Raw genomic sequence first — 17,271 nt, 5'->3', positions numbered from 1 at the left:
CCAGACGCATACAAGGGCCATGCTTCTTGTAAAGCCTGAAGAACTGTGAGTCAAATAAACCTGTCTTCTTTATAAATTACTCAGCCTCAGGTATTTCTTTATAGCAATACAAATGGACTAAAACATCTCCCTAGAAGAAATCTGCATGGGAAACAGATTATAATCAACAGTTTGCTTACTTGATGTGGAATTGGGCAAGGGCTTTGGGTAAAGAAATCACTAGTGGGCACCATGAGGTTAAGAGTGTCAAGGGTCTCTGTCCACACAATTGAGATCTACTTCCCACCAGGACCCAATGGGATAGGGCAACCTCTACCCTGGACAACACTTGGAGAAGAACTGCTGTTAGTCTCAGTGATATGCCCTTGTCTATGTGCCCATAAAGGGACCAACTTGTCTTCTGGTGGGTACACACCCTCTTTAGAGTCATAAAATAAATATCTGTTGTACTATTAATTAACTCATAATAATGGAATCCCTTCAATCTGTACACGTTATGTGATGGTTTATAGACCTAGAAGTCATCCTGTTTCTTTAAGGGAAATTTTCTCTCTAAGACTTAAACGATAACATGTAAAAGATCAAAGGAAAGAGATGTAATCTGTCTTTCATTCATTCTTGGAAGCAAATTTAAGTTCTGGCTTACAACAGTTTCGAGGTTCCATCCCCAAGGACACAGAAAGAATAAGAACATTTCTGGCTGTGGGTGAAGAAGTAGGGTGAAAGCAACCACTTTCTATAGGTGGTCCCTGTAGCTGTGTAGCCAGAGACAAATAAAGGGAACTGGAAGGACATTCCTAAAGTTCTTCAGAGGGCCTCCTGAGTCATCAGAGATAGACAAAGTATATGGCCAAGTTACTGGTTTGACTTTGCATTTGGCTTTGATACTTTTCAAGTTTCTACAAAATGACATTTTGTTACATCAAAATTATAATCTTTCCATTTTATTCTCAAAATGATAGATTATAGCAATTATGCAAAGAGAGAAGATTCATTAGTAAATGCAGTAGGTGAGATATACATTTATAGGCCTAAGTACCTTTAAAGGGACAGATATTTAGTAAAGGGCAAGGGTGAATGAAAGCCCTCCTCCTCACGCTGACCCTGAGCCCCTCATTTCCTTTGTGATGGTGAGAAATCCTTAACTCTAGACTGGGGCCCTATGCATAGCTCCCTGTCACTACTCACCAGCCTGGCCTAGAGCCCACAGGCATAAGTATTTGGAAGTTTTTATTGGTGTTATTTTGTGTCATCAGAGATGACACGTCATTACCCAGAAAATACAGGGCAAAAAGTGACTCTCAGAATCACACCAGAAACACTTCGTTTCTAGTACATAATAGAAATTAGGGTCAAATACCAGCTACTGTCAACAGGATCTGAAATCAAGAGTTTTTTAAGACCATGGTTACAGACATCACCACCTCCCTCACCCCAAACACTTTCAAAATCTGCTTGCTCTTTCAGCAGTCGATGCCTAGCCAGTCACTGTGTGCTGGAAGCTGCCATGCAGGGACCAAGCCCTTATTCAGGTTTTAATCTAAAACCAGTAACATTGGTATCTACTAAGGTTTATCCCATGGCACAATTTTCATCCCCCACAACAACCCTCTTTTGTGCAGACAGATAATAAAAGATCATCTCGCCTGTGATTCTAGGACCAAAGGGATGAATTATCCTTCAAGTTTACTGTGTATTTGAATTAAGATTCTACTTGGCTTTGTCAATAACTAAGGCACATCTACAGTTGAAACATGCAAAAAAACAGTTAAAAGGGTTTTCTATTCAGCACAGAGGAAGAGCCTTGCTTCTAATTCATATTCTGGCATCAACTTTCTATGTGCAGACAATTTCCCCTCTCTGCACCTCTGTTCTCTTGCTCAAAAAATACAGAGATTAGCCTGGGTGATCTTTAAAGCCTCTTTCCAACTGTAATAATCGTGTTTCTATAAAATAAAGGCTAATACAGAAGACTCATAATATTAATGGTCGTGAAGTACTTGGAACTTAGCAACGTTTAGCCCTTTCAACATGATCTAATGATGTCTCATGTAATCCTCCCACCTACCCTGTGAGGGATACATTGTTGATTCCATTATTCCGGTTACTATTACAGCTTAAAACATTTTTAATAGTAACAAAAAGTATGAACAGTATAGCTATATAAATAAAGATAACAAAATATTAAAAGTATTTTTGTTTAAAGATAAAATGATTATAAGGTACAGTTTCTGATGGTCAATAATTTAAGTGGCTCTCCTGGGCTGTCTAGCTCGGGGTCTTTCAAGTAGTCACAGTCATACAGTGACTGAGCTGGAACTGCAGGAGTCAGTTTCAGCTCTTCTGAACTCAGAAACCAGGGGCTGACTGAGCATCTCTCTCTGTTCATGTATAGTCTATTCTCATTATTTGTGGTAGTTATGTTCTATAAAGTCACCTTGAACACTAAATGAGCAAATACCCAACCATCATTCCTAGGGGAAATACAGGATTAGGTTCCTGCAAGTCCCTGGTCACAATGTTTTCATCAAGTGATCAATACATAACCTTGTTTAGTGTATGTTTCTGTTAAAGACACTTTATTTTATAGATAGATAGATAGATACACAAAATATATATTGTTAATTCATTAACATTGGATTCACAGTCAACAGAACTATAACTCATGGCAGAGCAAAGTTTATCGAACATATGTATTTTCTCCGTAAAGCACAGCACTCTCTTCCTGAGCTCAGAAACACTAGACAGTACTCCAGCATTATGCTTGGGGGCCATTTTCAACAGCAAAATCACCAACTAAAAGTACAAAATGCAAAAAATACGACTAAATAGACTTTGAAAATGTCACCTGTTTATAGTATGAGAGCTGATATAAGAAGGCAGGGTATCATCTTGTTTGATCTCAGCTCAGAATGTGCACATCAGGTGACTCAAATCATTCACCACTCTACACATGTCTACAGATAACCTTGAAAGTACAGCATGTATTGATTTCGGATTACAAATAAATTTTAGTGACTAGGCAGATTTGCAAATACAGAAGCTGTGAATAATAAGAATCAAGTATATTTTCAGAGCTTCTCCATATGGTTTCTCACATGAGCTCATGTGGGCTTCCTCACAGTCTAGTGGGCTCTGGGCAGCCAGGCAACTTTCATGGCTGCTCAGGGCTCCAGTGTGAGTGTTCCATCCAGGAAGGCAGAAGCTGTATCACCTTTCCTGATCTGACTTCTAAAGTCATGCAGCATTATTTCCACTGCATTCAACTGGTTACAGGCAAGTCATGAACTTGTCCAGATTCAAAAGAAAGGGACATAGAACCCATCTCTTGAGTAAGAAGGTTCTAGAAGAGCATGTGAAATGGGAGAAATTGTTGTGGTCATCATTGGAAAATGTAATTTGCTATACCCATTTTACAGACAAGGAAATTGAGGTTTGGAAAGTTAAATAACTTACTTAATGTCACACAGCTGACATGTAGCAGAGCCAGAATTTGAACCTAGACCTCTCTGACTCCAAAGCCTGTGCCCTGACCACCCTAAACCCTGCTCCACATAGCATAACTTTGGTTTTTAATCTATAGTTTCAACACAGTGCAAACTAGAAAGCAGCAGCATGGCTGAGCAAAGGGCTTGATGAAACAGATGGAATTTTAGGAGGAATCTATAGAAAGGAAAAGAAGTTGCTTGGCAACTGCTGTTGAGGAGATTGCTCAAAGCATAAAGGTGAATTTGAAGAAGCCAAGAGAAATGCAATAAAGGTCAACCCCAAGCAAGGATTTAGCTTAGGCATGGTATGAAGGAGGTCTAAAAGAGAAATGACAAGTCCTGAGATCTGGCAAAGCACACAGAAAAGCAGTGGGATTTTGGACACCAGAAGCAGAACAGCCACCCACAGGTGAGCTGTTCAGCACAGAATGACCATAAGGACATTCAGAAAATTCTATCATAAGACAAGCCTCTATTTCACCAATCATTTGAGAGGCAGAGTCTGGCTCTGGGGCCCCCAGAATAAACTGGGAAACTGAGAACTATGCTGTAGAATTCAGGGTCTTGCAGAAGACCCTCTCCTAGTGCCTTTGCCTGTAAAATGGGGGAGGGGGAGGTACCTGCCCCTTGGTGAAACAAGTTATACAAGCTAGAACTGCATTTTCCAAGGACAATTCTTTCTCAGTTCAGGCAAAGCAGCCTATTGATAGGGCAAGCCAGGGACCACCACCTTCATTACACCAGTTAACAGTGATAAGTGATAAGCTCTGATGTAATTTCTCCCTTGAAGATAATTATTTTAACAATTAGATGACATTACCATTATCAACACTCAACCAAGTATCTCAGCATGAAGGAGGGAGTCCTAACACCAGTGGAAACTTAAAAATACAAAACCTCTGGCAAGGGGGTTCATGGGGGCCATCCTCCTGATGAGAATTCTCCCTGAATCTCAGAGGCCCCACTACTCTTCTTGGCTGATCAAAATTCATTTTCTCCTTCTTACTGATTATTCTAGCTTTCTATTGCTGTGCAACAACTTGTCAAACAAGTGACTTAAAAACAACCATTTGCTTTTGTTCATAACTTTGTGGTTCAGGAATTTGAGAAGGGCTTATATAAGTAGTCCTTGCTTGGGGTTTCTCATGGGGTTGCAGTCACATGCCAGCTGGAGCTGTAGTCCTCTGGTGGCTCAACTGGACTGGATATCCGAGATGGCACACACATAGGCTGGCATTGACACTGCTACTGGCCAGGAGCTCAGCTGGGGATGTTGTCTAGAGCACCTACGTGTGGCATCTCCAGGATGGCAGCCTCAAGATGTTCAGACTTCTAATATGGCAACTGGCTTCTTCCAGAGTGTCCCAAGAAAGTCAAGCAGAAGCTGCAAGGCCTTCTATGTCCTAGTTTCGGAAGTCACTTCCACCAAACACTATTAGTCGACACAATCACAAGCAATCAGATTCAAGGGAAGGGGCATAGACATCACCTCCTGATAACAGGAGTATCAAAGATTTTGAAGGCTGTGTTTTAAAACTTCCTATTATATGTTGAATTGTGCTCTCCCAAAAGATGTTGAAATCCTAACCTGCAGTATCTGTGAATGTACCTTATTTGGAAATAAAGTCTTTGCAGATGATCAAGTTAAAATGAGGTCATTGGGAGGAGCCCTAATCCAATATGATTACGTCCTTATAAAAAGGAGAAATTTGGACACAGAGACAGACATGTCCTGAGGGAGAACATCATGTGAAAGTGAAGGTGATGATCAGGTGATGCACCTACAAACCGAAGGATACCAAAGATTGCCCCGAAACTACCAGGAGCTAGGAGAGAGGCATGGAACAGGTTCTCCGCACAGCCTTCAGAAGGAACCAACCCTGCTAATACCTTGATTTCAGACTGTTAGCCTCCAGAATTGTGAGACAATGCATTTCTGCCATTTAAGTTTGGGATACTTTGTTATGGGAGCCCTGGAAAACTAATACATTCTCATACAGGCTAAAAGAATCCTGATTTTGTTTAAGAGGGCAACAAGCCCAGGTGAAAACATATATTTCCCCAAACTCCCTTGCTGCTTAGAGATAGCCGTGTGACACTAACCTGTCAGGGATTTCTGGAAAAGCCTTGCTTATACAATAAAAGGCCATCTTTTTTTCTGTCTCAATTTTTTGTTCTTACTGTCTGTAATGTGGACGTGAGGTATAAAAACAGATCAGCCATCTTGCGACTGCTTGTGAGGACGGAAGCAGATCAGGAAGACGGAAGGAACCTGAGTCTCTGACAGCAGCCCTCTCAGCTCCACAAATAAGTCTCCATTGATTGTGTGATCCAGGCACTATTCTAGGTGCTGGGGACACTGACTCCCCATCCTCCTCTAGTGATCTGTCCTTAACTTCATTGGTAGATCATTTCAACTTACCAAGATAAATGCAGGAATAAAAGTGTAGATGTGATGTTATGAACTCCCACAGGGAAGCCTCCTACCCAGCCTGCCAGAAGAACTTCCTGGAGCTCCCCACAGGGAGGAACACAAGACATGTGCAGCCTAAAAGTCTATCAGCCTCTGGGGTATGTCCTCCTCTCCCTCAACAAGAAACACACCTTCCTGGTATATCAGATGGTCAGAGCAGGGCTCTCAGAAGCCCCGGAGTGCTGAGCACAGCGCAGCTTGGGCTGCCTGCAGTTCTCATGGCAGCCACTACCTCAGGATGCCTAGCAACCAGCCTGTCCTGGGAGACACCTCGGGCTGCCATGGAGTAGCCAAGCTGCCACTGTTCTCAAGAGGGCTAATCAACGGAAATCTGAAAGAAGCCACGCCATGGATAAAACCGAGCCAGCCCAGAACCTGGCTGCTTGCTAACTTCCCTTCTGCAGGATGCCCATTACCTGCAGGATGCCCATTACCTATCCAGGACTGCCCATCTGCAGTCATCCCATTTCTCGTCATCAATCACCAAAATCCAGAGTCAGAAGCCTCAGCTGCAGCAGCAACGTGACTTCCAGGGTTTTCTGCAGAAAACTAGGACGCTAGGTTTCTTGCTGAACTGGGTATGGCTTTCCTCATGCCATAGGTAACCCAGCCAGATTGTCAGTGTGGACCTAAGGAGCCTGAGAGAGGAGGTTACCTGAGAAAGTTCACCACTCTCCAGAACTTCTGCCAGTCCAAGGACATTGACACCCTCCATAGCACTAGCCAACATGCATACCTCCTTTCAGAAGCAACAGCTTACCAGAACCTGTGGGAAAACTCTGCTCATGACTTCACTTCCAGAATCTCACCTCCCTCTGAGAATAAGTATAAGTGAGGTCCTCTGAACAGCAGAAGGATGAATGTGGGTTTCCATAGTCCCTTGGCCAACAAATGTAAAGACAATGAAGGCCAGAGTGGGGTCAAATGTCAGCCACACAGACCTGTCTTGCAATCTCTAGTTGTATGGCCTTGCACAAGTTACTGAAACTCTCTGAGCCACAATTTGTTCAACTATAAAATGAGATAATAAAGCCATTATAGTCATTGAGGGGATTAAACAAGAACATTTTTATACAGTGTTGTCATGAGAAAAACTTGGGACTGTAACACCTGCTCCTGCCTCCCAAACTGGGAAGGTGCTAAGAGACCAAAGAATGACTCGGACAAGTCCAGCTTGGCGAGTAGATGACTTTATTAAGACTAGATGTGGGACACTCCTGGGTGGCAGCAGGACAGCTGTAGAGCCACATATCACTTTCTGTCTCTAAGCTGCTTTTAAGCTGATTTTCTGGCTCTTTGCCTACTGTGTGTGTGTGTGTAATGGGACTGTTTTTCTTGGTAGGTTCTCAGATACCCTCTGGGATGTCTGGGTTCTTGGAAACACCTGTCCCTCAGCTGGGTACCATGGCCTTAGCTCCTGGCCTAGCTTTTAGGGCTCAAGCAGCGGGCATATACCCTTAAGTAACCTGGTGGGGGACACATCACAATATGAGTGTCTAGCATGCTACCTGTCACGTAGCAGTAGGGATTCGACAACCAGTGGTCTCCTTCCCTCCTTCCCTTGTCAAAGCTGTGATTTCTGAAGTCTTCTAGGGAAAGAAGCAATGAGGAATTGATTGGAGGTGCCCTTCTGTGTCCCTTGCAGAATGAAGTTCATGTTGTCTCCTATATATGTACCCCACAGCATGTGCCATGGTACTTACCTGTGGTACACACCCAGAGATACAGTAATGAAGGAGTAAAGATGAGCAAAGGGAGAGCAAAGGTGGAGGATGAGAAAGACAGTCTCCTCCAAATGGCATTTGCTGTTCAAGAACACTTTTGAAGCTGGGATAAAACCAGTGGTGCAGTGAGCTGGCAATAAAATTCAGCTCTCCCTAGCATGCTGAATACAGCCCAATATTTTCCCCACAGGCAGAGTGAAAGAAAACCGCAGCATCCCCCAGACTTTGGAAGGATAGTGGGCAGAGGGCAGCAGCAGGCACACCCGAAAGGGAGCCTCAAGCCCTCAGGATATTCACATGCAGCCAAGCCCTCCCTCTGCTAGCCTTCTCCGCTTATCCTTATACATGGTTCCCTTTCCCTTGTCATTTTCACTACCACCATCTCAGCCCTCATTTCTCCTCCCCAACCCCAAGAGCGCCTCTGTCCAAGCTGCTCTGCCAGCCTTCCCCGTGCCTCTCAGATTCATTGTCCTCATGGCATCTGATCATGGCAAAACACTCACATTTTATAAGATTTTGAAAAATAATACTCAAAATGTTTAATCATCATAAGAAAATTTGACAACTAAAAATGAGCTCCCTCACAAATTTTAATGGAACTATATCCCCCAGAGATAAGGAAATCAAGGCAGGGAGAGACTCAGTCACTTTTGTAGGAATACTCATCTATAAAGCAGTAGATTCGGGATTCAATGCCAAGCAGCCTCTTCCAAAGATGCGCTCCTAACCACTGTGTATTCTGCCTCTGAGATAAAAACAAAATTGAAAAGGAGGTTTGGGGTCAAGTTGTAGATCATGGATCAAACGCCATCCTCAGAAATTGTTATCTTGTTCTATTGATACAAAAAGTCATTGCAGGCTCAGGAGAAGAGTGTGGTAAAGCCAGAGCTGTCTTACAGGAGATGGGGGCACCACATTTCTGGAGGGTAATATGGTAAGTGGTATGAATGCAAAGGCCTACAAGGAGCTTTTTGATGCATTAATCTCAGTTTTAAACATTTATATGTAGAAAATAATTGGAGAAATGTATAAGAATATATGTATGGGTATGTGTGCTCACGGCAATAATATTTCAAATAGCAAGAAAAAAAGAGGATCTGTGCTTGCTTCCGCAGCACATATACTAGAATTGGAAAGATACAGAGAAGATTAGCATGGCCCCTGTGCAAGGATGACATGCAAATTCGTGAAGTGTTCCATATTTTTACAAACCTGACAAAAATAAGCAATGGGGAAAGGATTCCCTATTTAATAAATGGTGTTGGGAAAACTGGCTAGCCATATGCAGAAAACTGAAACTGGACCCCTTCCTTACATCTTATACAAAAATTAACTCAAGATGGATTAAAGACTTAAATGTAAAACCTAAAACCATAAAAACCCTAGAAGAAAACCTAGGCAATACCATTCAGGACATAGGCATGGGCAAGGACTTCATGGCTAAAACACCAAAAGCAATGGCAACAAAAGCCAAAATAGACAAATGGGATCTAATTAAACTAAACAGCTTCTGCACAGCAAAAGAAACTATCATCAGAGTGAACAGGTAACCTACAGAAAGGGAGAAAATGTTTGTAATCTATCCATCTGACAAAGGGATAATATCCAGAATCTACAACGAACTTAAACAAATTTACAAGAAAAAACCGAACAGCCCCATCAAAAAGTGGGTGAAGGATATAAACAGACACTTCTCAAAAGAAGACATTTATGCAGCCAACAAACATATGAAAAAAGCTCATCATCACTGGTCATTAGAGAAATGCAAATCAAAACCACAATGAGATACCATCTCACACCAGTTAGAATGGCTATCATTAAAAAGTCAGGAAACAACAGATGCTGGAGAGGATGTAGAGAAATAGGAATGCTTTTACACTGTTGGTGGGAGTGTAAACTAGTTCAACCATTGTGGAAGACAGTGTGATAATTCTAGGATCTAGAACCAGAAGTACCATTTGACCCAGCCATCCCATTACTGGGTATATACCCAAAGGATTATAAATCATTCTACTCTAAAGACACAGGCACACATATGTTTATTGCAGCACTATTCACAATAGCAAAGACTTGTAACCAACTCAGATGCCCATCAGTGATAGACTGGATAAAGAAAATATGGCACATATACACCATGGAATACTATGCAGCCATAAAAAATGATGAGTTCATGTCCTTTGCAGGGACATGGATGAAGCGAGAAACCATCCTTCTCAGCAAACTAACACAGGAACAGAAAACCAAACACCGCATGTTCTCACTCATAGGTGGGAGTTGAACAGTGAGAACACATGGACACAGGGAGGGGAACATCACACAATGGGGCCTGTCAGGGGGTGGGGGGCTAGAGGAGGAATATCATTAGGAGAAATACCTAATATAGATGATGGGTTGATGGGTGCAGCAAACCACCATGGCACATGTATACCTATGTAACAAACCTGCACGTCTGCACATATATCGCAGAACTTAAAGTATAATAAAAATTTTTTAAAAACAAAAAAAGAGGATCTAATCTATATGTCCACAGTCGTCTGCACATTCCAGGTATTTCCACACCTTCATATTACCACCTTGCTGGTGTTCAGCCTGCGGTGCCCTTGTCCCACTTCTCTATTCAGCAAATTCCCACTCAGCCTTCGTGGCCCAAGGCAAATCCCTCCACCTCCGTATACACCTTCCTGGATCCCCTGAGTTGAAATTGATTACCCCTCCCCCTCTTGGCCCCAGATTGCTTTACCAGCACACCAAGTATATCTCTTTCATTTTCCTTTATTTTGAGTTTTATCAGTATCTGGCTTTCACCATAGGCAGTTTCTGTCCTCATATAGCCCTCTATGTCTAATCCCCCACTCCCTGCCCCATGCTGCCTGACACATAGCAGGTACTCACTGACACCGAATTGAATTGTTTATGCCTTTACTTATACAGTGCATCATAATTTAGAAGGCACATTCGGATATTAAACTTTGATTTTTACCACATTAAAAAGCAGCAGAAGTAAATATTTTGCTCCCATTTTAGAGGCAAGAAAACTGGGGCTCATAATGGAGTTTTCCAAAGTCCACACAGACAGTGGGGATAGATGCAGGTGTAACTTTGGCCTTCTGACTTGAGTGCAGTGATCTCTCCATGACACTAAGGGGGGAATGGGCCCTGGGGCACCTTATAGCAGGCTTCCCAGCCACCTTCACTGTGAGGAGACCTTATGATGTCCAAGGAAGTAGGAAGAGGTCTTCTAAGGAGTCAGACCTCTTGAAATGAAGCAATTTATCCACCTCCCATCCTAACTATCACTGCTCCTCACACAACCCTTCAAGGCTTGTTCAGAACCTAAGTTCATCCCCAGTGCATACACCCAGCCTTAATTTTTGAAATGGTTCAGAGTGGCCTAACTCATTGCTAGGGTTCTTAGAAGTCCCCATCTTCCATGTCCATCAGGCAACCCCCTTAGCACCTGTATAAGTTTGCTTTCTCCAATACCCTCACCTAACTTTGGCCCAAGCCTAAACCTGGACTTTATTCTTCAGCGGGGCCTGAGACATCAGCAAAGCAAAACAACTTTCCTCCAGGCTAGGACAGACCCCGCCCAACACCAACTCATGGTCTCTCAGATCAGGTCCTCAAAGTGCTCCTATGCCCATATGCCTTGGAAGACTACTCCAATTGTCCGCTAAAAAAAACCCCAGCACATTGTCTGAGAACCTTTCCAACCACTCAAATATATGTGAAGACTTTCCATCCAGTATGCAAAAGGATTTCAAGGGATTCAATTTTCAGAATTTCTCTCCTGACATCTGCCTGAGGACACACTTGTGATGGATAGGCAGACCCACCTTTCCTACTCCCTTTTTCACAATTTCCCTCCCCGACTCTACCGAATAAAAGGCCCACCTCTCACCCTTCTGGAATCTTCCACTGGTGCACTGCCCTGGGCACTAAAAATGTTTTAGGTATCAAACAGAGGCATAATTTCGCATTTGGGCTAGCATTGACAATGCGAATAACTCTAACCACTGTGTCCAATTCTTTATTTTCACCAAAACTGCTGAGAGACCTATGAATGTCATCAGCTGATCATTAAAATTAATTTTTGGACTGGGCATGGTGGCTCACACCTGTAATCCCAGCACATTGAGAGGCCAAAGCAGGAGGATCGCTTGAGCCCAGGAATTTGAGGCCAGCCTAGGCAAAATAGTGGACCCTGTCTCTACAAAAAATTTTTTAAAAAATTAACCAGGCATGGTGGTGCATGCCTGTAGTCTCAGCTACTTGGGGGGCTGAGATGGGAGAATTGCTTGAGCCTGAGAGGTCAAGGCTGCAGTGAGCCAAGATTGTACCACTTCTCTCTAGCCTGGGTGACAGAGCAAGACCCTGCCTCCAAAAAATTTGTAATAGTTTATTATAGTATCTTTGACATATGATGCAGAAGGAGTTTCAAGACCAAAATGATGCTACCATAATAAAATTCTTTCTACTCCAATATGCATATTTATGTGAACAAGCACTTAAACCTATAAGTATGAAAAATGGGAACATAGTGTGATGCTGAACTCTTTCTAGCAGTAAGTGACATTCATCCACAGATATAGCTTATAAAGAGATGCATTTCCAATAAAATTTTACTTTTATATTTACTAATTATTTCATTTATGAAAATTGCATATATATTTGTGTTGTTTGATATATAATAATTATAACCAATAATACAGTAAAGATAACTCAGTTGGATACTAATAATATAGTACTGGTAACTTCATCAAGAAGAGATTTTTCTTAACACTTAGAGTCCTATTGTCCCTAATTTATTTTCTGTGACATGAAAATCTCCCCTGAAATCTAGGCATGTTTATCCAGTTGCTTATGTGATACTTCTACTGGGATATCTAATAGATATCTCAAACTTGACATGTCCAGAATCATACTTCTGATACGCCTCCTCAAATCAGCTCTTCCTACTCGCTTCCCCAGCTCACTTAAGGCATTCACATTCTTTTAGCCACTCAGATTGAAAACCTTAAAGTTGTCCTTGACTCCAGAGGCTGCCATGAGAATGTGTCTCACAGGCCTCCTACACAGGAAATGTAATTGACCAAAAGCCCCAGATGCTGTGCTTGAAGTCTATCACTGCATTCATACTGAGGTCATCTCTTCCAGGGGCTGCTCCCTACCAACAGTTGACTGTGGCAGAGATGCTAAGACCTATTCCTGGGAGACGCAGGACTCCTTTGTTGGCCAACCATTCTCCAAAGGCTTTGCAAAATCTTCCTTAGACCGCATGGTGGTTTTGGACTCTTCCACCCAACCTTTTCTTCCTCTCTCCCTCATCAAGGGTAAGACTTCCATCATGGTCTGATGACTCTCCCAGATTTCCCTGGTTCCTTTCCTGTTTCCTTTACACACAGGAAATAATAATAATAAAATGCTTACATGCTTAATTGCATCTGGGCATCTGCTTCTCAGAAGACACAGATTAACACAACTCCTCCCTTTCTCTCTCATACTTCATATCCAATCAGCAAACCCCATCATCTCTCTTGAAAATACAGTTGATCCTTGAACAGCCTGGGTTTGAACTGCATGGGTCCACTTAGACACAGATTTTCTTCTGCTTCTGCCACCCCTTGAAACAGCAAGGTGCACCCCTCTTCTTCCTCCTCCTCCTCAACCTACTCAACATGAAGACAACAAGGATGAAGACCTCTAAGATAATCCACTTACACCTAATAAATAGTAAATACATTTTCTCTCCTATGATTTTCTTAATAACATTTTCTTTTTTCTAGCTTACTTTATTATAAGAATACAGTATATTATATATATAAAACATAAAAACTATATGTTAATTGACTATATTATCTGTAAGGTTTCTGCTCAACAGTAGGCTATTAGTAGTTAAATTTAGGGGGAGTCAAAAGTTGCATGAGGATTTTTGACTGTGTCGGGGGCTCAGTGCCCCTAACCTCCACATTGTTCAAGGGTCAACTGTTTAACCAGGATCCAACTGCTTCTCACTGTCATCAATCTGGTTCAAGCCATCATCATTTCTCACCTGGATTATGGCAACAGCCTTCTGTATCAGTCAGTGTAGTACATTAAAGATGCCCATAAATTCACTGTGCTCCTCTCTACTCCCTTGAATCTGGGCTTGGCCTCTCATTGCTTTCGCCAATTGCGTATAGAAGTGATACTGTGCCAGCTCAAGACCTAGGCTTTAAGAAGACTGGCAGCTTCTGCTTCCTGCCTCTTGGAACCCAGCCTTTATACTGTAAGTACTAACAGCCCACTTGGAGGAGAATCAAAGCCTCTGGCCAACAGCCCCAGCTGAGCTCCCAGATGACAGCCAACTTATCAGTCATGTGAGTGAGCCATCTTGGAAATGGACCCTCCAGTCCCAGCTACTCTAGCTGATGCCACATGAGACAAAGACGAACTATCCCCTCCAAGCCTTGCCTAAATTGCAAAATCATGAATAAATAAATGATTGCAGTTGTTTTAAGCCATTAAGTTTTGGGGTATTTCTTTTGTACAACAATAAATAATCAAGAGTCAAGGTCCCAACAGAAAACAGAAGGCATACTGAAGAGGTAAGTGAAGAGAGTTTAATTAAGGGACTATGTTTACAAAAGTATGTCCAGGATTATGGAAACTAACAAGGAATAGTGAAGCACCAGGGACTCACATCAGGGTTCTGCCATGTCTACCTCTAGGCCTAAAGAAGAAATAGAAGAGGGCAGTTACTAGAGTCCTGAAAGGGTAGCTATAGGGGGAGGACTACCTGAAACGAGTTATGGCCTTAGGTAGAGGGACACAGACAACCTGCAGTGACTCTTGCTAGAGAGGAAGTCAGAGGAATAAATGGAATAAATTTTTTCTCATTCTTCTCTCTACCTCTCATCTTCTACTGGTCCCCATTGGTTGAACCCACTGGAAGCCAGAGGCCATGCTGCCCACTGATGTAGTCCATGTAGGTCAACCTCCCATGATACAGAGTAGGGTGGGAAAAAAGTAGGGCAGGAAAATATCAGAAAAGATATTTAGCAGCTCGCATATTAGTCAGGGTTCTCCAAAGAAACAGAACCAATAGGACACACACACACACACACACACGCACACACATACACATACATGCACCCAAATTGGCCCACACAATTATGGAGGCTGAGAAGTCCCACAATCTGGCGTCTGCAAGCTGGAGACCCAGGAAAGCCAGTGGTGTAATTCAGTCTGAGTCCAAAGGCCTGAGAACCAGGAGTGCCAACGTCCAAGGGCAGGAGAAGATGAATGTCCCAGCTCAAACAGAGAGAATGAATTAATCTTTTATCTTCCTTTTTGTTCCTCTAGGCCCTCAATGGATTGGATGATGCCCACCCGCATTACTGAGTGTAGATCTTTTTCACTCAGTCTACTAATTCAAATGTTAATCTCTCCCAGAAACACTCTCACATACACACCCAGAAATAATGTATTACCGGCTATCTGGGCATCCCTTAGCCCAATCAAGTTGACACATAAAATAAATCATTACACTGACTAACAGCTCTCCCTGTCTTGGTTCACACCCGTCACAGTCAATTTTCAACACAGCATCCAAAAATCCTTTGTTAAAGCTTAAGTCAGATGACATATTTTTTTTGGCTGAAAATCCTCCATAATCACTCTGAGTAAAAGCCAAACATCCTTAAAATATCTTCCAAGGCCCTACATAATCTAGATACCCTTAACCTCTGAGCTCATCTCCAGAGCTCCCATCTTCCTTCTGACTCCAGCCACATCAGCCTTCTTGCCCTTCTTCAAACATGACAGGCATGCTCCAGCCTTGAGGTGTTTGCACTGGCTTCTCCTTTTATCTGATATGCTCTTCCCTTATATACACATAACTGGGTCCTTTAATTCCTTCATATCTGTATATAAAAGTCACCTTTTCAGAGAGGCCACCTCATCTGAAATATCAACACCACCTGATACCTGACATTATATATCTACTTTTTCTGCTTTGTCTCTCTTATTAGAACTTTTTAATATCTAAAATTATATGTATTTTGCTTATATTGTGCTTATATTGTATTTATATTGTATTTATCTTTTATATTATTGACTATCTCTCACAATATAAAGTAAGTTCAATGAGGGCAGGGAATTTTGTCTGTTTCATTTATTAGGACAATGTCTGGCACATAATAAGCATCAACAAATATTTGTTTAATAAACAAATGAAAGATCACAGAAAATGGCAATATTTAATTTCAGTGTATATAAATGTATATATGTATATGCATGTGTAGGTGTGTGGTAGGGGATAGATAGACATAGATGTATGTAGAAAATTATAACAAGATGAATAAAACTATTTCAAACATAAAGTATGTTAAGACAATTTCTTGGGGAGAATAGAAAGAACATTCAACTTCAAAGAAAAAAAGGAATGATATAAAATTTGTATCTATTAAGGATGAGCTTGTTCATGTGTTCTTTTAAATGAATGTTGGAGGTTGGTGGCAAGATGGCTGACTAGATGCAGCCAGGTGGAACACTGCCACTGAGGAAGTGGGACCACTGGCACACTCCTAACAGATCTTCAGAGGGAAAACACTGAGCGTGGATGCAGGGAAGACACAGAAGCTGGGATGAATGGGGAGGAAGCTGGGAACACTGCGTGGGGCTATTGTGCACCAGGTCTCATTCCTGTCCCCTAGTGACTCCAGGGAAAAGGGTGAGTTGAACTGGCAATGAGCAACCTGATCTTGCCACAGGCCTCTGGAATCCCAGAAGGAGGACACCCCTTGACCACCACAGACACTTGAGTTGGCAGGGAGAGCTGCCTAGAGAAGTGCTAGGAGAAGCACTCCAGCCTCTGCAGAGCCCAGAGGGTTTGGTGTGGGAGTGTCTGTAGTGCAGCACAGCCAGTGACGCCCATCCCCCTAGGCTGGACTTGCTCCCATAGAAGACTTTAGCCCTAGCAGAACTTTCGAACCCGAACCCTGCAGGGTGCTCTTTCCCATCAGATGGGATCAGTCCAAGAACGTGAGCACCCCTTGGTCTGCTGGCCTCTCCTGGGGCCCCAGCCTGGCCACACCTGCTTGCAATGCAGCCTTGGGCACCCTGGGTGCCCGTATTATAGTTCCTGTGCTGGGGACTGTGCCTGGCCAGCAGAGAGCTCCAACACAACAGCCCCTGCAGACATGCACCAGTCTGCCTGCTCCCTCCCACCACTGCAGTTTCCCCCATGCCCACAGTCATCCCCCACATTGCTTTGCCTGCATGGCTGGGCATGGAGGGATCTTGCCTTTCTTTCCCAGCCATCGCATGTATGCACATGCACCCTGCCCTGCCACTGCTGCTGGCATGAATGCACTCCACCTCAAGCCCCTGCCATACTGCCATTGCAGTTGGAGCCTTGGCAGGCACAGGGCCTGCCAGCCCCACCCCTACCAGCACATTGCCCCTGCGCCAACACTGCCGCTGAGTGAAAATAGGCATGGAGAACAGCGGACCTGCCCCCACCCTGAGCACCACTTCCACCTGCATGAAAGTGCACAGAGGGCATACACAGTCCTGTGCCCACGAGTGCCCTGCCCCCACGCTA

At 43.0% G+C, this 17,271-nt stretch overlaps 1 pseudogene; it reads left to right on the top strand.

Moving 5' to 3' along the window:
- Nucleotides 8,785-8,890, top strand: RNU6-1124P (RNA, U6 small nuclear 1124, pseudogene; annotated as a pseudogene).

This window comes from Homo sapiens, chromosome X, assembly GCF_000001405.40.
Source record: "Homo sapiens chromosome X, GRCh38.p14 Primary Assembly".
In the NCBI taxonomy this organism is placed as follows: domain Eukaryota; kingdom Metazoa; phylum Chordata; class Mammalia; order Primates; family Hominidae; genus Homo; species Homo sapiens.
This window is presented reverse-complemented; position numbering and strand designations above follow the sequence as displayed.